Here is a 25,491-nt window from a genome sequence, read left to right on the forward strand (position 1 = left end):
CACTTTTGCAGCAAACTACTAGCTTCCAGGAACTGTGAAAAAATAAATTTTCCTTATTTTAAGGCACTGGGTTTGTGTCAATTTTTTATAGTGGCCTCAGGAAATTAACACATCCTTCCTGGTCTTTCCTGTCTTGCTGGCTATTAATTTGAAATTGGGGATATTTTGAAGGACAGTCTTGTTTGGGAGAGAAGACATGCCTTTTCATGCCAATTCTCAATGTTAACTCACCCCTGGGTAACTAGTAATTAATCTATTAATCTTCAATGTACTTAGAAAAGCTTGGGTTGCCACATCATTTTATAAGGGTGGGTAAATATTTTGGCATGGTGAATTTTTCTTATATTACAGATAATATTTGATGACATGATGAACTAAAGAAATGCTGGGATTTAAAAAAAATACCATAACACACCGAGGAAAAGCAAATATTTGGCAAGGATGCTTTTCTCAGTAACCTGACATGCCTGTTCATCTACAACCCACACCATTTTACTGAATTATTCCTAATAGGTTAAAATATTTCTATTAGATTAAAATATTTCCATTAGGTTTACCAGGAGAATCTAGATAGTGGAATACACATTTTTATTTTTATTATCTAGTTTAATTCAACAACACATAATGAAGCACATAAGTGCACACACACACATGTGTATACATATATACATATATGTATGTATGCATGAGTAGCCAAAGTGGTTGGGATACAGATCAGGGAGATCCAGCACCTAATTTTAAATTGTTTCTATTCAACAGTAAAATAGATTTGAGTTAAATAATTTTTATGGCTAGAGATACATATCAAATAATTTTACACATGAAAAAACAGTATCAAATATGATTAACAATAATACAAATATTTTAAGTGCACTTTAGTATTCCTATTGTGATTTGGATCCAGAATTTTTAAAGAGCTTAAATCTGCTCAAACTTGAAAAACACATTTGTATACACAAGCAAAACACCAAACGCCCCTCACATCTCTTAATGTCTATGTCCCTTCATCACTAGGCTCCTGGAAATTTTATTTGTCATCATGCAATACTCTCATTTCTCTCCCCCCATGCACAAGAGGAAGTTGAAATCAGTCTTCTCACCTCACCATTTCAATGATACTGTCAGGCAAACGTCATCAATGACTGACTTGCCAAATTATTTCAGTTGTCTTTAAAGTTTTCTTTCACTGTTCCTCTGTTGCATCTGACACTGTTGACTCTTTTCGGCTTGAAACATTCTTCCCTTGTCTTCAATGAAACCACTGAGGTTAGAATGATATACTAGTTTATTACTTGCCCAAAATATAAACTCAGTAATGTTTGTATAAAAAATTTGATAAATTACTTGTCTAATTTTATTATCTCATAATTTTGTTATATAATCTGACATGTTTTTAAATGTAAGAGTATAATAAAATTTTTGCACATATTAATATATAGAAGAGGTCAAGTTGTATAATTTCAAGTTGTTTTATGTTACTTCTCTACTAACTAATGCAATATTTTTATAAGCCAATAGTATCTCTATTATTTACAACAAAATATTTCCCACATTTTCTCTTAAGAATATGTTGGAGATGAGGTTTATTAAACTTACATTATAAATTAATACCTTTTTGAGAGATTACTATTAATATGCTAAAGAAATTGGCAACACATCATCTTTAAACACTTATTATTTGTAAAACTATATATTTTTTAAAATCATGGAGTTTTATTCCAGTTGCAATTTTATGGTGTACTTTAGTACTTTTCATTTTATTACATTAGTATAAGGTGGTATTCATATGCTTTTAAATTCAGTTCTACTCTAAATGGTTTACATATTCCAAAAATATTGCTTCAGTTTCCTTTTCATTCTATTTATATTCCCAAACTAAGTTACCTTTAAAATATAAATATTTAGCTCTTTGTAACTCAAAGATAGAAGTATTTTTAAAATCTTGATCTTCATACTGTTTCTTCCATCATTCAATACTTTAATTTTTCAAATCTTAAGTGGAAAAATAATTATATTTTATTTTTAAAACTTGTATGAATACGTAATAGTTATACATACTTAAGGGGTACATATGATATTTTGATACAAGTACACAATGTGTAATGATCAAATTAGGGTAATCAGGAAATCCATCATCTAAAATATTTATCACTTCTTTGTGTTAGGAATATTCCAATTCCACTCCTTTAATTTTAAAAATACAGTAAAGTATTATTAGCTGTAGTCATCCTATTGTGATACCAAACACTAGATCTTATTTTTTCTAATTGTATTTTTCTACCCATTAATCAACCCCTTTTAATTCCCCCAGCCCCACCACTCTTCCCAGGCATTGGTAACCATAATTCTACTCTCTGTCTTCAGGAGATTGATGTTTTAGCATTCACTTATAAGTGTGAACATGTAATATTTGTCTTTCACTTTCCACTGCTTCATCTGACAGTGCTTCTTGGCTTATTTCACTTAACAAAATGGCCTTCAGTTCTATCTGTGTTGTTGCAAATAATGAAATTCCATTCATTTTTTATGAGTAAATAACATTCCATTGTATATATGTGCCACATTTTCTTTATCCATTCGTCTGATGATGGACACTTTGATTGATTCTATATCTCGGCTATTGTGAATAGTGCTGTAATGACCATGGAGTGCGGATATATCTTTGATACACTGATTTCCCTTTTTAAAAATGTATACTCAGTGGTAGAATTGCTGGATCATACAGCAGTTTTGTTTTTGGCTTTCTGAGGAACTTCCATACTGATTTTTAGAGTGGCTGCACTAATTTACATTGCCCCCAACAGTGTATGAATGTTCTGCTTTCTCCATGTCTTCATCAGCATTCATTATTTTTAGTACTTTTGATAAAAGCTATTTTAACTGTGGTGAAATTATATCTTAATGTGATATTTTTAAGGTAAATAACTTTATGTCAAGAATTTTTAAAAATGTAAGACTATCTCCCCAAAGTAGTCTGGGCAAATTTCCAAAATAAATGGGCTCTAAATGCAGGGTCAGGCCTTCAGGATCAATTTCATCTCTTCATTTCTAATTAAAAAAAAAAAAAGATTACCTAAATTCCTATATTTTAAGTTTTCTAGCATAAGCTGGATCAAATTCTTTGGGATTTTTGTTTAAAATTGTGAAATATATTGAACTTTTAAAAGGTGAATTAAATATATGTGTGTGTGTGTGTGTGTGTGTGTGTGTGTGTGTGTGTGTGTGTAATTTAACAATAATTAAAAGATCTTCAAATTTTTACCAATCAGATTAATAGAATATTACTAGCATGTTAAATTGCCACTGTGTGTCCTTCCATTTTTGCACCTACTTTTCTATCTTCCAGACTAAATATCATGCAGAATTTGGATTCCTGGCTCATTTGTTTTTCCATCATACTCCTGTTGGATTTTTCTCCTAAGAAACAGAAAGACATGAGATTGAAGAAGTTAATTGTTCAACCCAGGTTATACATGAATGGTATTCCCAAGAAATTAGAGAAAATATCAACAAACTCCTATAGCATGCCAGGAAATCAACCAATCCAAATTGAGGCAGAAGGCTGGCAATTCAAGGAAAGAGATCTCAAAAAAAAAAAAAAAAAAAGTGGATAGATTCCTTGGGATATATATTGCATGTTAGGGGAGTTTAAACTTCTGACAAAGATTTGAGGATGAATGAAAAGACTAAGTAAATAAGAATTAATTTAGTTACCAACTCCAACATGATAATGATAAAAGAAGGGAAATGTGATGAGGTTACATGTTACAGAGTATCTGTAAATAAAACTTACAAAGATGAAATAACATAAATCTCAATTATTATTTAAAAATAATAATGCAATAAATCTGGTAAGCTGTGGGACTCAGAGGATTTTGTGTGTTTATGTGTATTTGCGTGTTTGTGAATTTATTTTTGTGTACAAAATGTGGAGCATGAATAAGAGCTAAAGATTCTTCCTATATTTAGTAAGTCAACAAATTAGAACTCAGAAAGTAAGGAAAAACAATAAAAACATGACAGTTAATATCTATACAAATATAAAAAAACAGCTAAAGTGTTAAAAATAATTTGCTTCTCTAAGAGAGGCATTAAGGATGAATATTTGACTTTAATCCTTTGTCTAAGGATTCCAGAAAAAAATCAACATCTAAAATGATATACAATAAATATCCTATCCATAAATATTCTCATCTATATTCCATGTGCTTATTCTTGCTTTTTTCTTTTTCTTTTTTTGAGACAGAGTCTCACCCTGCTGCCCAGCCTGGAGTGCAGTGGCACAGTCTTGGATCACTGCAACCTCCACCTCCACCTAGGTTCAAGCGATTCTTGTGTCTCACCCTCACGAGCAGCTAGGCTTACAGGCATGCAACACCATGCCCAGTTAATTTTTGTAGTTTTAGTAAAGACGGGATTTTACCATGCTGCCAGGCTTGTCTCAAACCCCTCTCCTCAAGATTTGCTATCTTGAGTGAGAAATGATTTGTTTGCCTAAACTAGATTCTGTTAATTTATGTAATAATTAAATTGGTGTAATTTGGATCTTTTAACCTGATTTATTTTTTTTGACAGAATGGTCAGTAAAGACAACCATCATATGATATATATTTAGCCTTTACATCATTTTATGAAAATATTTGCATTTACAGTAACCTTACTGGCACTAAACTATAGACATAGAAATATTTGCATTAGTATCTCCCATTTATTTTTATTCTTAATAATCTATCCTTACCTCCCTGTATTCCAGGAACCAAGTATTTGCTGTTGATTCTCCATAAGGTAGAAACAGATGCAGACCTCCAACTCTACCTCCTTTTCATATTAAATTATGCTCTACTGTCTTCCTGGGCTACTTGGGAATTCAAGAAAATGGATGAAAATTACATCAGTTTTTGAGTAATATTTATAGTATTTAAATTATCTTCTTCCAAGTTTTATCACTTCTGGGCAATTGGCTATAGCTTTTATAGCTAGTGAATTTGTTCTCTTTAGAATTAGATTGGTTTGCCCTTTAGAAAAAAAATTGTAGTTTCATCTGTGATTTAAAACGATCTTTATTAGATTCTAAAATATTTCTGTTAGGTCAGTGTTTCTGAAGTTACTAGAGTCATATTTTTTGTTGCACCCACAGTAGATCCAAGATACAACCAAAGATATTTTCCACTAAAATGCTGTTGATATTTTTATAAATTTGATGACCGTATAATCCAATGTAAATAGTAATAGCATTACCTAACTTTCCTATTTTTAAAGGAATATGTTAAATCCTTACTTAAAGAATATTTTAAGCCCCAGAACTTATTATAATTTTGACTTAGCAAATATGTCATTAATTAGATGAATGGGTCTGTGCTCACTATTGATCTCTATAGCTTTGAATAATAAATAGCAATGGCATCTGCTTATATGCACCCAGAGCTTTGTGTGACTTCCAAGTATTGAATTATGTATTTCATATAAATGGATTTTGTATTTTATGGGTTATTTTCTTCCAATATAATTTCCACCTGAATTCAATTTTCATGTGAGGAGTCAGCTATCACAGCCTAACACAGACAACTATATAGGATATAAGGGAAAATTAATGCATATTGGTAATACAGATGACCAAACATCCATCCATATTTGAAGTAATTTGTTGGGAAAAGTATTCACTCATGTAGTTTGTGAATGTGGTAATCAAATGTGACCAAATTGCAATATGCTGTAAGGGACATTCATGCAAATAAAAGCACTTTCTAGTGTAATTTAAATCCATAAATATATAATAGATTAAAAGGGAAGTAAATGATTTTAGTAGGACATTCTTATTTTCTGAGAACAATCTTATTAAGAGAAATCAATTGCACTTACCCTATAAAATGTCTTTTTTTAAATGTAAAATAAAATATGGTATAAATAAACTAAGTCTTATACAGTATGGCATTTAAAGCTATTTTTACATATTTAAAACTCATGTCATACCAATTGTGAGATAAACAAATGAACATAATTTACTAAAAAGATTTTTATTTTTTATACAATTCTTCATGCACTTTTAGTCCCCAGGTATATAGTTTTAATTTCTGACAGGACAATATTCAGTACCTAGTTATGTTTTACCATCATATTTGAAATATTATTACATTGCAATAAAGGAAGTATCAGTTACCTTGTATGACAGGTTAGTAGTGCTAACTTAATCACTGTGTTTACTCCTTTGTCTTTATTAAAAAGTTATGTAACTGTCCCATTACATATAGATTTAATGAACCTTTACAAACATAAACAAAATCAATGTAACATTTAATTTTTTTAATATATACAAATTCTTTTTATCACCCTTTATATTTTAAAATCAGGTAACATACAAGTGAAAATAAATTATTTTTTAATAAAGTTTTACATATTGTATATAATATTTGTAGTGCATCAGTCAGAGAGATAATCCCCAGAGATGTGTATCAAGCATTATTGCTAAGTGAACTACATGATATCACTATATTTGCATGCATAAAGTTTACAGGTTATATCACTATATTTGCATGTGTAAAGTTTACAGGTTATATCACTATATTTGCACACATAAAGTGTACAGGTTAGTGGACACTTTGTTATCCTCAGAGAGAGGACAAAGTTGTTTCATCAGTATTGTGGATGTTTGACTCTGGATATTAAAGAGAAAATTTTGCTCAATTTTGCTATGCTGAAGAGACTATTTAATGAGTAAAATAATGCAGAATGCTTAAAAGATATTTTTTGAGCATATGGAAAACCAGTTTTATGAAACTTGAAGTGTTATATGAGATGCGTCCCCCATATGTGATATGGCATAAGTTGTCTTGGTACAGTGTTGAGTGGTTTCAGGGTACCCTTATGAAGGTTATACAGGAAAAATGAATTGCAATTCACATACAAAGTTTTCATTATAAAAAGAAAGAAAATCACTCTTTGTCGTGTCAGTAAAGGTATTTTTTTTTTTTTGAGACGGAGTCTTACTCTGTCACCCAGGCTGAAGTGGGATGGCTCACTGCAACCTCTACCCTCTGGGTTCAAGTGATTCTCTTGCCTCAGCCTCCTGAGTAGCTGGGATTACAGATGCACACCACCACGCCTGGCTAATTTTTGTATTTTTAAGTAGAGACGGGGTTTTACCATGTTGGCCAGGCTGGTCTCGAATTCCTGACCTCTGGTGATCCTCCCACCTTGGCCTCCCAAAGTGCTGGCAAGCATTTTAAAGGTGGCTAATTAATATGACAATATTAATAATTGACATTGATAGGCATTTACTATGTGCCAAATACTGATAAACACTATAAATTGTTCAATTTAGTTTAATTGATTATGGTGATGTCTACACAACAAATGTGTTAGCAAAATATTTTAATACGGCAAAAAAGTGACTCAGATGTATTTTTAGATATTTGAAAAGTTTGTGTGACTGTAACGTGTGGCTTACTCAATTGATTGTATACACGCAGATGGTTAAGCCTTTGTTTCCTTCCTTGAATCTCCCAACACTTTTTGATTAACAACAACAACAACAACAACAAATCCAAAATTTTAAATACTCTGTTACTGCAAAACCATTAGGAAATGTTTTTCATCAAGACAAAAAGAATGAATAAGACCTGCTATTTAATAGCACAACAGTCAATATTTAATAGACTATTTATTATGACTCAATTGTACATTTAAAAATAACTTAAAGGTGTAAATGGATTGTTTGTAACTTGAAGAAATGCTTGAGGGAAAGGATGCCCCCTTCTCCATAATGTGCTTATTTCCCATTGCACACCTGTATGAAAACATCTCATGCACCTCATAAATATATACACCTAATATGTACATACACAAATTATATAAAATGTAAGAAAAATGACAGTATAGTAAATTCAAGTGTGATACAGCTCTCTTTTCCACAATGATAGAGAAAATACAAGGAGAGAGTGAGACCCAAAATCAAAGAATGGAGATGAGTTACTTAACATATTCATGGCCCAATTAAGGAACAGAAAATCAGTATGAATACCTCTAAGACTAGGGAAAAATTTCATTTGTATATGACCATAGGAGAAACTGAATAATATGATTCTATCATTCTAGCTCAATGCAGTCATCTCGGCTTTCCTTGTGGTATGTGTGTATTGGCAGAGAGGAATAAAGAATCAAATAATAGGCAGCAAGGAAGGAAGAAAAGCACAGTCATGCATTTTTCCAGTTTTCCTGACTATACCACAGTTGCATGAATAGAAAGAGATGTATGATTGTATATGTAAATATTAAGTTAAAATAAAAAAGTACATTGCAGGATCAACATTTATTGGATGCTCAAAGAGAAAAAAGTATCTGAGAGAGCCAACCTGGGGAAGCCTGGAAAATTCAGTGAAAACTGGACATCTGATCCTCACGCTTCTAACCCAATTAACTTTCATCAATTGGACCATAAGCTTTTGTAAACAGTCTTGGAAATAATGGCAACAGAACTAAATAAAAATGGGCTTTTGGATATCATAAATCACACAAAGTTTGTGGGCTGCTAGAATCCCTCTTGGCTTTTACATTGAAGATCTCTGAGGGGCAGCTGATGCTGTCAGAGTAAGAAGAAAAATCACATATGTATGATGCGTTATGGTGGGCCATTCCAGTGGTGAATGTTCTTTCTGCTCTTTCTCGGAGTCTTTCCCTTTGAGATGAAACAAAAATCCTGCCTGGCTGCATATCTCTAAGGAGAAGTTTCTTTCACAGCTGGAGCAGGCCCTTTTCTAAGAGCCAGGGAAAATATCTCTACCCCCAGAAGAAATAAGAAATCACAAGCCTTCCTGAACTTCTTTGTGTCTCTTTGCTGCTCAAGGTCAAATGAAAGGAAACAGACCATCAGCTTTTAAGAGAAGTGTGTACAGGAAATGACTATTTACTTGACATGTGTCTGTACTGAAAATTCAAGTATCAGGAGACATCTAAAGCTGGTACTTTTTAAATTTAGGTTAGCTGTTCTAATTTGTTTATTATCTTGTGAAACACTGACATATTAAATGTGATTCTCTACTGGTTTGTAATGGGTCATATGAGACATGCAAAGCCAAAAAACTGTTACTCTTCATTACATCCCTTCAAGCAAGATGAAATTCTGAATCATAATTAGTTTTGTATATACTAATTAATAATATACCATGAAAACTTGAAAAATAAATAGTCAACAGAGAACCTTTTCTACCGATTTCATTTGTAAGCCAAAAGACTACACCAGCCTCCTAAATATTGGCAATACATTTTTTCTTGTTTTTTAAACAATAAATGTGAAAATACCTTGATTACAGGCTCTATAAACTTGAAGTATATGTTTTCTGGCTATTTCAACATACAATTTTTGTTGTCATGGTTGTGTGGCCCAGCACTAATGTTTATTTAGACCTTCACCTGACCCTTGCTGATGCATATTAGTTAGACAACTTTTGCTTACAAGTGATAGAATAAAATGATGCCTGAGAAGTTGCTGGTTGACTAACAATCAATGACTGGATAAGAATTCAGATGAAATTTGTTTTTACTTGCTATCTCTCTATCTCTATCTCTACCCCTATCTCTATCTCTATCTCTACCTCTATCTCTCCTTCTTCCTTTTCTCATTTCCTTCTACTGTGGATGAAAATTCCAAACAAGAGGGTAAGTTGGAAGCTAGCTGCCACAACTTCTAATTCTCCCACTACTGTAACTTCACCAACTCTAGTAGAAAAGTCCCAGAGAAGACTATGATTGACCTAACTACATCGCACGCCTACCCCCAACCAATCTCTGTAGTATAGGATTGAGAAGGTCTAATTGGTCAACCTGGGTCCTAACTCCACTCCTGTCATGGGGATGGAATACCAGCTTTAATAGCACCACTACCCCCATGATACAGTTAGACTTTGTGTCCCCACCCAAATCTCATCTTGAATTGTAGGTATTCCCAGGTATCAAGGGAAAAACTAGGTGCAGGTAAACTGAATCATGGGGTTGGTTTCCCCCACGCTGTTCTTATGATAGTGAGTTCTCATGAGATCTGATGATTTTATAAGGGACTCTTTCCCCTTTGCTCAGTATTTCTCCTTCTTGCCTCCTTTTGAAGAAGGTGCCTCGCTTGTGCTTCACCTTCTGCCATGATTGTAAGTTTCCTGAGGCTTCCCCAGCCCTGTTAAACTGTGAGTCAATTAAACCTCTTTTCTTTAAAACTTACCCAGTCTCAGTTCTTTATAGCAGTACGACAATGGACTAATATACCCCACTGGGACCAAGGCATTAAAGATGGGGTGTTTCCTCAAAGGAAAAGCTGCTGGACACACTGCTCATGTTCACTGTGGCCAGAACTTAAATTACAAGCCAGAACTAGAAATTACAAAGCAACCCTGAATGTATCAATATTAAAATTGTTATTTATTACTACAGTAACAATTAGGGTCCAGTCAGAAAGTGACACCAGTAATTATTTTAATAGAGAAAATTTAATATAGAGAATTAGTTAAATCAGTACTGAAAGGCTGAAAAAACAAAGGCAACACTGAAGTATCTGAGAGGGGGAACCGCAAGCAGCAGCTACCATCCCTAAGTCTGAGAAAACCCGCTTTAAAAATAAAAAGCTGGGATTCTTAGAAGCTAGAAGAGCCAACAAGTATATGAAAAAATGCTCCACACCATTAATCATCAGGGATACGCAAATTAAAGCCACAGTGAAATATCACCTCACACCTATTAAAACAGCTATGATCAAAAAGTCAAAAGATAAATGTTGGTGAGGAAGTGCTGGGAGGAACCCTTGCTCACTGTTGGTGGGAAGGTAAGTCAGTACAGCCATTATGGAAAAGAGCATGGAGGTTCCTCAAAAAGTTAAAATAGAACCACTGCATTATTCAGCAGTCCTATTACTAGGTATATATCCAAAAACCATAAAATTAGTTTGCCAAAGAGATTTTTGCAGACCCATGTTCATTACAGTATTATTCACAATAGCCAAGATATGTAAACAATCTAAATATCTTTCAATGCAAGAATTAATTTTTTAAAGTGTAATGCCCACACACACACACACACACACACATCATTGAGTACTATTCACCCTTAAAAAAGAAGGAAATTCTGTCATTTCCCATACATGGATAAACCTAAAGGATTTTTATGTTAAATGAAATAAACCAGGCACAAAAAGACAACATACCACATGATCTCACTTACATGTGGAACGTAAAAGAGTCAGACTCATGGAAACAGAGAATAAAATGCTGGTTATCAGAGGCTGGGGAAGGATGGAGGGGTGGGGAGAGGATTGTGGAGGTGTTGGTCAAAGGACAAAAAAATTCAGTTAGAAAGGAGGAATAACTTCAAAAGATCTATTGTACATCGTGATAACTGCAGTTAACAATATATTTTGTATTTCAAAATTACTGAGAGTAGATTTTAAGTGTTTTCATCACCAAAAAATAAGTGATGTAACAGGTATATTAAATAACTTGATTTTGTCATTTCACAAAGTATACATATATCAAAAGATTATGTTGTATATTTTAAATATATACAATTTTTACTTGTCAATTAAAGAAAATAGTTTTAAAAAGGTTAACTTATTCATACAAAAAAAAGTAAAATCTAGAAGATTGGGTCAGATGTAGAACCCAGAACTCAGGGGAGGGAGTATTAACCCACTAGTGCTGGTATCTGTGAGGGGCCACATCTGTTCTTGAGATGGGAAAAACTGACCTGGAAACAGATGTTAAACATTACTGTTGAAGTAACACTGAAAGGAAGAGAATGAAAAACACAGAGTAAGTTTCTTCTTCCTCTTCCAGCCTTCCAGTCCCTTTCTAATTCCCCCCATTGGCAGAGCCTGAGGTGATCTCAGGTGGCAAAGTAGAAACGTGGTTTATAATTCCCCAGACAGCACCACAAAGAAGGGCATAAAAGGGCGGCTTTGAAGCTGCGAGACAACAGCTTGATAACCAGCACATCAATGACGGCAACATCAGTTCTGCATCAACTGGAGAACATTCTGTGCATCCACAGTGGTTTTTATCTGTATCTATAGACACAATAGTAATTAGAGCATATACATCTATGGGCAAATTGCTACCGGCTATCTGTTGCACTCAATCCTTTCTCACCACTAGTTTCTTTAAACTTTGTAGTTGGACACCAAGTTCTTTCTATTCCGGTTGGATATTTCTGGAATCATATTCTACTTAAACTTTGGAGCATCTTCACCATGTTTTCAGAAACTGAAATTTCTGAAGCTTTTCTTTAGATTATAAATTTGGAACTGCCAGCAGTTCCTTCTGAGAGAACAGGTCCAACCAGGTTCATCATTTTCTTTAATAGTATTTTTTCCCTCTGCCTCAATGGTTTAGCTTAAAAAGGAGCTGTACAAGCCTCATCTCTGTACTTTGGCCTGGCAAAGAATACGTTGACAATTGGAGCAAAGGCTTCTTTTGTGGCTATCTTTCTTGGAATTTCTCACTCTAATCTCTCTCATATATCGGAGAATTTATTACAAAAACTGGATATTTGAAGTTCTCTGAGAATAGTGTTAAAATCTAGCATATTTAAACAGCATCAATTTTTTACAGGAATTTTGTGTCCTCTAAGTTCATACTAAACATTTTGTTTTAAAAAATACCAGTTTTTTAATTTTCAAAGAAATTATTGTTTGAATTTAATTCTACTTGTTTTCTTTTCTTCTTTTTTTCAATATACATTTACTTTCTCCATAGGATATTTCAAACAATGTATCAGAAATACTGAAATATTTGGATGATTTTATAGTCAGCCTTAAAATTGATAGATACAAAAAAATAGAAATTAGTATTTTATGACAATAAAGATATTCTGAATTCTATCAGGAGTACTGCAGCAACTTTGATAAGCCTGCATAAATGATTTGTTTTTGAAAATTCACTAAATAGCAGTGGAAAAGTTTAATGTGGAATCTAACCACAGCTAATTATACATATTAGCTATGTTGAGTAGTTTGCTAGCCCAGATAACCTTTAAACTTTGGCTGTAATGGTAATTTACCTAATGGAAAAGCTTAATAGAAATATTATAACAAATGTACCTCCTTAGGTTTATTGAGATTGAATTGGGAAGTCAGAAGACATGAATGTGCTGTGCACACATACTGACAGAAAACCATGTTATTTTAATGATTCATAATTTCTAATTAGCCATGATTATTCTGAGTGGTTGTGGATATACATTTTAATTGTATCACATACTGTAATTTCCAATTTCCGCAGAGACGCTGATGAAGTGAAAGTCGTATTGCAAAGTCATCATTTAAATATTTGAGAAATGGAATGCTTTAAGAGGGATAAATTTCCACTGCTTAATTATAATTTTTATTGATCTCAGAAGTCAATTTTGCCCTGGTAATACAGATGGCTGTCTTTCTTCCCTTCCCTAGCTCAACATCATTCTGGGAATTTGAAAATGTGTTGCCTTTCTCTCAGTGGGTGGATTGAATGCAGTGCTTCTATCATGCATTCAGCATTTTAAAAGACGAATGTTTAGAGAAGCTGAAACAGGGCAAGTGGAGCAATGAAGAAAATATCTTTTTTATAGTTTGATAGTATAGTTTGGGTTGAAATTGAATGCTGGAGTTTCATTAAAAGCCTTACCTTCATACTGATATTATACAAGAGTATTTGATAGAGCCACCTGAAGAATACTTAATCAAATTCAGCTTGTTTGTAGGATTTAAATTTGAAAAGTGTTGGTAGTTCTGCAAACAAAAGACAATTGCTTGAGTGAGACATGTCTCCCAACAGCTTGTGCTGTGAGAAGAGGAAATAAAGCAGGTTATTAAATGTGTATCTCCATGATGATTAGAATTATGTGAAACTTTTGGCTGCATAAATGTCTTCTCACACCAGTTAGAATGGCAATCATTAAAAAGTCAGGAAACAACAGGTGCTGGAGAGGATGTGGAGAAATAGGAACACTTTTACACTGTTGGTGGGACTGTAAACTAGTTCAACCATTGTGGAAGTCAGTGTGGCGATTCCTCAGGGATCTAGAACTAGAAATACCATTTGACCCAGCCATCCCATTACTGGGTATATACCCAAAGGACTAGAAATCATGCTGCTATAAAGACACATGCACACGTATGTTTATTGCAGCACTATTCACAATAGCAAAGACTTAGAACCAACCCAAATGTCCAACAATGATAGACTGGATTAAGAAAATGTGGCACATATACACCATGGAATACTATGCAGCCAGAAAAAATGATGAGTTCATGTCCTTTGTAGGGACATGGATGAAATTGGAAATCATCATTCTCAGCAAACTATCGCAAGGACAAAAAACCAAACACTGCATGTTCTCACTCATAGATGGGAATTGAACAATGAGAACACATGGACACAGGAAGGGGAACATCACACTCTGGGGACTGTTGTGGGGTGGGGTGGGGGAGGGATAGCATTAGGAGATATACCTAATGCTAAATGACAAGTTACTGGGTGCAGCACACCAGCATGGCACATGTATACATATGTAACTAACCGGCACATTGTGCACATGTACCCTAAAACTTAAAGTATAATAATAAAAAAAAAAAGAATTACGTGAAACTATTTGATGGTCTCCTCCAGATGTAAGGACATTTTATGTACTTTGTAGATCTTGGAATATATGGCACATATGAGCTGAAACAAGTCTATTTAAGACAGTCCTCTTGAAAGGGTAAACATCTCTGTTCATTAGAGGCCCAGAAACTCAATATAATAATTAATATCCACTAAGCCAACACAAGGAACAGTTTCTTAACTTGGGATTTTATGAAATCAACCAGGGGATTGGTTATGAACAAATACACCTGCATTTGGGTTGATAAATATGTAAAATTTACAATAGGGTTAACCAAAGCAAAAACTACTTATCTAAAGTATAGATGATATTCAGTGGAGTTTGGGGCGATTTTTCATGTCCTCTTTACCAAGGAAATGATGATAATACTTACCAAGATATAACCAAGAGAACAATCTCTGCCTTAGATTTTTCAGATTTGGATTTCTTTTTTTGTATTGTTTGATTTGATTTATACCTTTCATGTTTGTCTTGTGCAATAGCAATATGTTTAGTTACAGACCTTCCATATATAGAACCTAGTTACTAAATGCAAAAAAGATTGCTTGGAATTTACTTAAATTACTGTCACAATGCTAAGTAAAATTGTTATGAATTCTGAAAAATGCATTAATAGATTTATTTAGTTAACAAATATTCATCCATACATAGATCATGTATATACTATTATACTTACTTCAAATTACCAAAACATTCTCATAGCTATTGCAATTAAAAGAAATATAAGTGGAAATGTACTTAGTACAGTGCCCGAAACACACTTCAAATTCTATTATTTGTATTATCATTATGTATTCCCTAATAAGAACTATAAGTAGGGTAAGGCACTGACATTAAAATAGTGTATGTGATCCTTACCTTCTTGAAATGTACGGTTTAGCAGCAAAATCACACAATTACAAAATAAAATAAGTAAAAGTTAATAAGTACTATAATAGTCCAAGTTTAGGTAGCCTTGAAAATACATAACAAGATCAAGTTATCTAAACTAATGGGTGACTTTCTTTTTGTATGGCTGAAGCTCTTTATGCAAATAGTTTCCGTGCCCAGTAAATTATTTTTAAATGAAAGAATGGCTTAATTCTAGCTTTCTCTGTCCCATTTCCAATTTGTTTCCAATGTTTTCTACATTCCCTCTTTGCACATATATTTTACTTTCTAATCTTTTCATGGGTAAAAGCCCCTTTTATTTGGGTGAGAGTTGAAGGAGCAAGTTATGCTCCTTGCTAACTATTTTTAAAACCTTCTAATTATCTTCTCTACATGCAGCAACTTAGAGATTTAATTGTTTTGCCATTTTGCACCCAGTGCTAATTAAGTTAATTTCTTTTATATGTAGTATTTTATTACTTCACATAGATCCTAGGGTAGAGATATAGACAGCTACAGAGATAGATTAGCTTAACGTTAACCTTCCTGAGAAAAAAGCAAAAATGCCTATATTGAGGGTTTATCACTGGAGACACCAGTGATCAATGACCTTTCTACAAAAGAAGACAAGGTTATCAAAAAAGAACAGGTCTTCAAATTACAATCACAAGTCAAAGGGACATTTCCCAATTCCTCTGAAGTGAAGCCATTTAACTACCAGTTCAAGGACCTCAAAGATTCCATCACTGGACTTGGAGTGGATGAGGGTGATGTTTGTAAACATTGCAGACAGCTTTTGCCCTCTGTGTCCATCTGTGAATCTTTCTGGAGAGAGGATCTATACTTTTTAATCTATTTCTCAAATGGGGCCATGACTCTAAAATGGCAAGAATCCCTGGTCTCAAGGGTGTGACAAGTCAACTGAAATCTATAAGAGGACACCAAATGACCTCAGATGTAGCACCAAGTTGTCTCTTCCAGTTGGAACTAGATGACTAGTGGTGAGCCCCTGTTCTACTTTCTTTCAAAACTCAACAGGATTCATCACAAGTCACTTTTCAGTATGAGCCAAGCACCAAAAATGTCTCTATTATGACAGTTTCCTTAAAGATTAGCTGGTTGATTTGAAACATGAAAATCCTTCTAGCAGGTGGTTTTCTCCAAAGAAGTTAGTAGGAAAATAACATGAGGAGATTGGAAGGAAAATCTTTATGACATTCGATGCAGTCTGTGAGTGCTTTTCATGTTATATAGCGGGGACACATGGGGATATTGCATTACACCTGTTATGCCATGGTATATCATGTGACCTGGTAGCCTGAGGATACCTTGAATTTACAGGACACTCAGCCCTACTGGAGTGTCATCTTTATACATAGGTAGCAGAGATGTGCCGCTAACTTTGTTTGACCCTGTATAATCTCATAAGTGGCAGCATTTTGTAGTTACCAAAAGCTCAGACTTGAAGCCAGTTTTCCTGGGCTCAAATACTGGCCCTGGAATTTAGTTGCTCTCCTATTCTGAGCAAATTTCTTAATTATCTCTGCCTCATTGCAAAATAAGGAAAATAGTTATGTTACCTACTGGATGGGATAGGTTTTAGAATTAAATGTTATTATTTGTTAAGTACTTAGAAGGGTATCTGGCACATAGTAAGCAGTATTATGTTGAAAATAAAATCTGGTTCTCAAAGTCCACATTGCTAGAAAGGTAATATCTACATTCCTGGTGATACGTTTTGGCTCTGTGTCCCCACCCAAATCTCATCTCGAATTGTAATCCCCACGTGTCGAGAGAGGGGCTTGTGATCCCCATGTGCCAAGGGAGGGAGGTGATTGGATCATGGGTGCTGTTTTCCTCATGCCGTTCTCATTAAAGTGAGTGAGGTCTCATGAGATCTGATGCTTTTATAAGCATCTGGCATTTGCCTTACTTGCACTTCTCTCTCTTGCCACCTTCTGAAGAAGGTCCTTTTTTCACCTTCGCCTTTACTATGATTATACGTTTCCTGAGGCTTCCCCAGTCATGTGGAACTGTGAGTCAATTAAACCTCTTTCCTTTGTAAATTACCCAGTCTCAGGTAGTATCTTTATACCACTGTAAGAACAGATTAATAGAGCTAGAATTCTTCGTTTTTATTTATTTGGTTGCCAGATACCGCTGCTCTCCACTGAGTCTTTGAACCTCTCTACTGCCTGCTGCAGCAAAAATTTTTGGGTGAGATAAGAATGAAAAGTGGTCCCAGGGGCTAAACCAGATGTAGTCCTGGCCACTAGAGCAATTGTTATGAAAATATGTTTCAGACACCATTGCTTGTTGGGGTTAGGGGAAGGTTTGCTGTAAGGAGTAAGAAAGTGTCAGAAGAAAGAAAGGACACTCTCAAAAGAAGATGATAGGAATACGGTTTTGGGGAACTTATCAACGTTAGTGATTTTGCCTAGATTTTACAGTTCAAAAAATCTTGGATAATTCAAACATACATTGTCCCAAGGGTATCTTGGTGGTGGGGGTAAACAAGGGGGTCATGATATAATCAGAACCTGACTCAAGAGGCAGTTCCTTAACTTCAGAATGAACACTGTTTCCTAAACCTTGAGATATACAAATAAATGATACCATGCTTCATTCTTTAATCTTAAACCTCTTTATTTAAAAATGAATCACTTCTCAATCTCTTAATCTAATTTGAGCCAAAAGACACTGGGACGTTCTTTAGTAATACTTTTAAATTAATCTCTTTAAATGAAAGTTGTGAAAAATTTTTCTGTATGTTGTCATGCAGTGCTGACCTCAACAGTGAGATGTTGCAGCTGTAATTCCAACTGGAATCCCTCGCTGTACTGAAGATTTCTAGTTACTAAAGATTTTAAATTAGTATGTTCCCAGTGGTTAGTAGAGTAATATCATAAGTTCCATTGAAACTCCTTCTCAATCAAGTTTATCACTGAAGTACATTTTCTGGATAAATCAAGTCCCCTAATGATACTATTGATAAAATAGATTGTGCAAAGACTGATTATGTAAAAATTGTCCTTTAATTTATTTTGTCTCTGTTCACAGAATAAAGAGATGTGTGATGTGATGATTCCCAAATCCGGCTCATCCTGAAAATTATATGGGGAATTAGGCTATGGGGTTTTATTTACTTATTTATTTTTAAAGTAATTTTAGAGTCAGAAAACATATCAATGTAAAGTCAAAATGGTTAAAATTTACTTGAATATTTTGGGGAAGGTAGACAGTTGTGGGGGACTTATAAATATTCTCCTCTGGGCTTTATAATCATTACTTCTATAGATGAAAAAAATAAAATCAGGAAGCATGAATGAAATTAAAGACTGAAGGATGCAAGCTTTACAAACCAATTCTACTCAACAAAGCTGACATGTTTTTACATAATGAAAACAAAAACATAATTGAAAAAAATTATAGCTTTAATTCAAATCCCAAAACAATAATCATTTACCACCTTACTTAAAAATCTTAAAATGTTAGCAGAATTTTGTGAAATTGACAACATGAGAGAAAAAATTATGTATTTGTTTAGTGAAAACTCACAGGAAAAATGGAGACTAATATAGCTTTAAATATCAAGTAGGATTCCTCCACAATAGTCGAACAGTTAAATCAGAAATATCAATTTATTGGCCGAGCACAGTGGCTCACGCGTGTAATCCCAGCACTTTGGGAGGCCGAAGCTGGCAGATCACCTGCGGTCGAGTGTTCGATACCTCCTTGGCCAACATGATGAAACCTCATCTCTACTAAAAATACAAAAATTAACTGGGTTTAGTGGTGCATGCCTGTAATCCCAGCTACTTGGGAGGCTGAGGCAGAGAATCGCTTGAACCTGGGAGGCAGAGGTTGCAGCGAGCTGAGATCACGCCACTTCACTCCAGACTGGGAGACTGAGCGAGACTCCGTCTCAAAAAACAAAACAAAACAAAACAGAAACATCAATTTATTGAAATTAGAAAATGGTAAGGGATGAGGCAAAGAAAATTTATGTTCTTTTTAAATTTAGGTTAATAAGACAGATTATGAAAACACATTAACCCCCAAAGAGTCCAAAGCTTTTTACCTATAATACAAATCAGTGAATCAGAAGTTACTCATACTTGATTCCCAATGTCAAATTCCATCCACGATACTCTCTACTGTCTAAACATAGTCCCATCACTCTGAATTCCAATACTAACATCTTAATTGATATTCTTGTCTTGCCAGATCAATGGCCCATACTTTTCTATAATTCCATCTCTCAGATTTTTAACCTATTTCACTTTTCTAGGTCTCAAACTGGTCTGTAACCTTGTTTTCTCAACACCTTATTTTATTAGACAAGGTACACACACACACACACACACACGTGGAGAGACAGAGAGCGATTATATAGATACTATATAATCTCTGTCTCACTCTGTGTGTGTGTATGTATATATATGATTTATTATGAGCAATTGACTCACATGGTTATAGAAGCTGAGCTAGAAGTCCCAGGATCTTCTTTCTGCAAGGTGGAGAACCAGGAAAGCTGGTGGTATAAATCCCAATCTGAGAGCAGAAGAATATGAGATGAGATGTCTTAGCTCAAATAGCAAGGCAGAAAAAAAGGAGTGAATTTCTTCTTCCTCTGCCTTTTGTTCTATTCAGGTCCTAAACAGATTCAATGATGCCCACTCATATTGGCTCATACTGGGGAAGGCAATCTACTTTACTGAGTCCAATGATTCAATGCTAATCTCAGCTGGAAACACCCTCGCAGACACACCTCCCACAAAATGTTTAGTTTAGGTACCCCGTGGTTGACATAAAATTAATCATCACACTTACCAACCCCCAAAATGTTTTATAAACTTAAAGGCTTTATGCGTGAATGCCAAAGATTATCTTTATAGAGATATTTTTCTTTAATCTCAATTTAGAGACTATTAACCAGAAATACACAACTTTCTTATCTCTCATGCCATAAATCTGCCCCCCACATTTGCATCCATCACCATCATCATCAATATAACTAGGCATTTTGACATGGTTATAAGCCAAACTGCTCTGGAAACATCATCACAGAAATTTTTCTTTCTCATTTCGATTGCAGCCTTTTTTCTCCCAGCATTTATGTCCCTGAAATGGGAGACATCCTCATTAAAGAGAATTTGAGAATGATTTCTAGGCCCTGATCTTTGCATAACGCTATACACTTAGTGACAGATCAGCTCACCATGGAGTAGGTGGTTCCATTTGTGCAAATTCTTGTTTGTTCTGGTTATTTTCACCATTTTTTCATACATGATCATATCATTCTCATTTCGTACTTGAAGACATGGCTAAGAGTCCATACCAGTAATAAAACTTGTTACAACCGTGATATTTTCTTTCTCATTTATGTTTACTTGCATATCTTCCAACCAGGCTGCTCCGCAGGCAACTATTAAACACTTGTCTACTTTTGCCACTATTCAAATATTGAAACACTCATAGCTAAGACTCTTAAGTAATTGTCTTATTTTGACACCGTTTTCGATTCATGCCCTTATTATTTCCTCTTTTGCATACTTAGCATTCCTGGAAATAATCTGGTCATTTAAATATCAATAGGTTAAAGTATACTACAAGCAAATAAGAAAATGTAGAGGCCACTTCCAAACCCTCCTGCCTGTCAATAAAGAACCCAACTCTGACTGATAGACACCATAACCAATGGTCTTTCCTTTACAACAAATTGTGTATCTTAGTTTCTTTGTGCTGCTATAACAAAATATCACAGACCGCATAGTTTATACACAACAAAAATGTATTTCTCATAGTTCTAAAGGCTGGGAAGCCCAAGATCAGGGTGCTAGCATCTGGCGAGGGCTTTTTAATGCATGCTCACATGGTGGAAGCAGAAGGGCAAAAATAGACAAATACTGTTCTTATATGGCAGAAGTGCAAAAGAGAGCGAGCCCACTCCTACACGCCCTATCTATAGAGCTCTAATTTATTCATGAAGAAGGATCCCTCATGGCCTAATCACCTCTTAAAGGCCACACCTCCCAATATTGTTGTTCTGGGGATTAAGTTGCAATATGAATTTTGGAGAGAATAAAAGCATTCAAACCATAAAACTGCCTCTTACTTATGGGGTTGAATTTAATTTTACACCTCATTTCTTTTTTGTTTTAAAAGTAACGGAGTATATAATAAAGATCAAATTCTGATTTGACTTACTGATGTGAAATCCTAGAATAAAAAATAATGCCCTTATTATATGTCATTTACTATAAGTTAAATAATGCCATTGTACATCATTTTAAAATAAGTACTATGGAAACTAGTAACAGAAATGGCACTACAATTTTTATGGAACCAAATCTACATAATCAATTTTGTTGAGTGACAGAAATCTACAGGTCAATCTCCAACATCTTTAAAAAGCTGGGAGTCTTTAACAATAAAAAATGTAATATAGTTTGTATTAGAATACCTTACAGTCTGACTGAAAATTTATCCATGAACAAGTAATGGGAAGAAAAAAACATGTATTTCTCATAAGACATGAGAAATATATCAAACACCTAATCAGAGCTTTTTGGATACACCAATAATTGATTTCATGTTTGTAGTGATATAATAGAAAATTTTTATCTGAATATTATCAAGAAGGGATAAATAGAAAATTAGAACAATGAATATGCTCTGATTATCCTTGAAAATAAATATAAAATTTTTATCCTTAATAAAACTCAGATATCCAAGTAAGCCTCCCACTCTTTCGTTTGAATGTTTTTCAGATAATAATTTGACACTATAAAAACTCAGAGTGAAACTGATTGTAACAGTAGTCAAATTAATAGAACTAATATAAAATCATATTTTCAATTATAATAAAATTCCTAATGCTGGTGATATTTTTTGGGAGCCTATATTATCCCAAGGACATCATGGCAAATTTAGAGCAAATGAGTTTATCAGTCTTCATTTGTGTAATATTCCTTGTTTAGTCTAGAAAGAGAAACACTGATTGTGCATTTATAATTTTAGGTAGAAAGTTGTGTTACAAGATTATTGAGATTAATCCTGTTGTTTTCATTCTTGTTCCTCAGAGCACTAAAACTTTGGCTTTAGCTTTTCCAAACCATCGCATATGACTAAAGGATTTATTCTCTACCCTGATCTTTTATGCTTACCCCTGTTTGGGATCTAATCTGCCTCCAATAATTCTTCCCTAACCTCTGTTCATTACCACATAAACAATTATTTATAATGATATATTCTTCCATTTAAGAGAGCAAGAGTAAAAGATTGGGGAGAGGGGAGATAGGGAGAATAAGAACATCCACACTTGCCTGAACATGACTTTATTAATGAGTTGATTCTACATTTTGAATATTTTGTCAACAGAGAGACTATGATTCATAGCCCTCAGCACTGTTCTGAAGCACTCCTGATTTCCCAAGAAGCATACCCCTGCCAAATTAATTTACAAAAAACAAGTTTCAACCGACTTTCTTAATATAATTCCTAATATAATCTTCACTTACAGTTTTATTCACTCATAACCCAGAGTTCTTTTTCGAATGAATACAGACTATTTTTGCATACTTTAGCTAACTTACAAATTTTTTTGAGAGTTGAAAATCATTCATTAGGCTCTGTCAATAGATCCTTTATTAGGTTGCTGTTAACACACATACATCTCTATGACTAGCCTTTCTTACTCTGATTCTGTCACTATTACTGTATTACTACTATATTACTATTATTATTACAGAACCTGGGCTAAAGCCCATATCAAGATATCACAGAAGTTTTTCTTTCTCATTTCAATTGCGGCCTTTTTTCTCCCAGCATTTATGTCCCTGAAATGGGAGACATCCTCATTAAAGAGAATTTGAGAAAGATTTCTAGGCCCTGATCTTTGCATAACGCTATACACTTAGTGACAGATCCGCTCACCATGGAGGAGGAGGCGGTACCATTTGTGCAAATTCTTGTTTGTTCTGGTTATTTTCGCCATTTTTTTTGTGCACGATCATATCATTTTATGATAAAGTCCATCAAGATATGGGTTTCAGCCCAGGTTCTGTCACTAATCACGTGACTATGGACAAATCCAAGGCATATTACTATGAAACTGAGGAAAGTCAAGTTTGAGCACCCATTACTTGTGCATGCTTCTTTTGTTACTACAAGGGAACTTATCAATATGATACATGATTATATGTCTTTGTAAAATTTATGGGAGTGGTATATTTCGATGATAATTAATAAGATTAAAGCTTCTTTTTGCTCCAAATTCCCCTTTGTTAGACTTTCCCCCTCACTGGGTCGCATTTTAGTGGTCATTAACACTTTTTGGATCTGCCTAGGGAAAGTTGAGTTGAGGAGGTATTTAATGCAGGTGTATGGGATATATTTATGTGGCTTGTAGTAATTTTTGTAAATAGGTAGGTAGCTCAGTGTGGAATGACTTTTAGAAATATGCTTCCTATCACTGTGTTGCTATATCCAAGATGACGATATGAAGGCACAGAGCCAGTGTGTCAGTTAACTGAAAAACAGTTTTTTACTTTCCTGATTTGTGTGGTGCTTGCAGTATTTAAAATTTTCAATTGTGGTAACCTAATAAGGGGAGTCATATCTCATCCTCTTTTTGCATTCTCTTTGTTAGAAGCAAGTGATAAATTCTACCAAATACAAGGACAAGAGATTACACAAAGGTGTGGAAAACAGCAGGCAGGAAATCACTGGGGGGTCATCTGGGGGCATTGACCACCACACACTTTCTTAATTCGTTTTTTTCTCCAACACTAATAGGATGCATTTGGTTGAAACTCAAATTGAGTAAGCTTAAGCAAAAAGTGTGTGTACTATCCTTAACGAATCCGAAGAAGCATAGAAAAATGATTACCTGGAAACATGGATGCTGCTAAACCACAAAAAAATAGGAATCTGGAAATCAGATGCCTCCAAGACCACTTCTTAGCTTTGCTTCCCTTTGCAAGATAACCCAGCTTAGATGGTTGCCCAGCTCTAGAAAATCAACCGTGGTCAAGGGACTGGGTACTCTAATTGGCCTAGATCAGATCAAGTACCCTCTTTGGACTAATAAAATCTGGTTAAGAGATTCCATTTTAAGAATGTATTAATTGAGCCTGGGAAGTCGAATCTGTGGTGAGCCATGATCACACCACTGCACTCCAGCATGGGCAGCAGAGTGAGACACTGGCAAAAAAAAAAAAAAAAAAAAAAAAAAAAAATTCAAACAAAAAAGAAGAATTTATTAAGTCTTAGGCAAGTGGGAGAGGCAATTCCCAAAATATGACTGTTAACTCTAGACCACATACAATTATCCTTTGATACACATGGGGATTGGCTCTAGGACCATTAAGGATACCAAAATTTGCAGATACTCAAGTTCCTTGTATAAAATATCATAGTATTTGAGTATAACCTATGCACATCCTCCCATATTCTTTAAATCAGCTCTAGATCAGTTATAATACCAAATTTAATGCCTACATATCACTTCATTCATACGGATACAACACAGCACTCAGCATATGTAAACTCAAGCTTTACTTTGTGAACTTTGGGGATCTCTCTTTCAGAATATTTCCACCCCCAGTTTGGTAAATCTACGGATGTGGCACCCACAGATACACAGGGCCAACTCTCATTTATACATTACAACAAATCTCTAAGAAGTGTTTTTGTTTGTTTTGTCCCTGGAGTAATCACAGGAATTGTTTATTTGTAGCAATGCCATATTGCACGGGAATTTATCTGCTAATACTTGTATATCTACCTAACATACTACCAGACCAAAAACTTCTTAGTAATGTGTATCCTAATCATCATTATAATTCCAGGATTTAGCAGAGTCTGGTACCTGGTAGGTGCTTAACATATAATTATATGATAAAGCAATCACTTATTGAAAAACTAAATCTAATGTTAATATTTAAAAAACTAAATTTAATGTTTCTCGATAGTACTAGACTGAGCTTATATGGCAGTTCAGGAGCT

General features: G+C 34.4%; 1 long non-coding RNA gene across 2 annotated transcripts in view; it reads right to left on the reverse strand.

Annotated features, from left to right (window-relative positions):
* Positions 1-571: 571 nt before the first annotated feature.
* The window catches only part of LOC105377171 (uncharacterized), a 183,241-nt gene continuing 158,321 nt past the window's right edge, over positions 572-25,491 (reverse strand). The window contains exons 3-7 of one of the 2 annotated variants that reach the window (XR_940977.4): positions 19,950-20,034; positions 13,632-13,735; positions 4,739-4,855; positions 3,332-3,417; positions 572-1,261 (exon numbers count right to left, since the gene is read on the reverse strand). This is a non-coding gene — a long non-coding RNA (uncharacterized LOC105377171). The remainder of the gene's footprint in view (positions 1,262-3,331; positions 3,418-4,738; positions 4,856-13,631; positions 13,736-19,949; positions 20,035-25,491) is intronic. The other variant, XR_940978.4, reaches the window with a different exon arrangement.

The sequence above is a fragment of the Homo sapiens genome, chromosome 3, assembly GCF_000001405.40.
Source record: "Homo sapiens chromosome 3, GRCh38.p14 Primary Assembly".
Taxonomy (NCBI): Eukaryota; Metazoa; Chordata; class Mammalia; order Primates; family Hominidae; genus Homo; species Homo sapiens.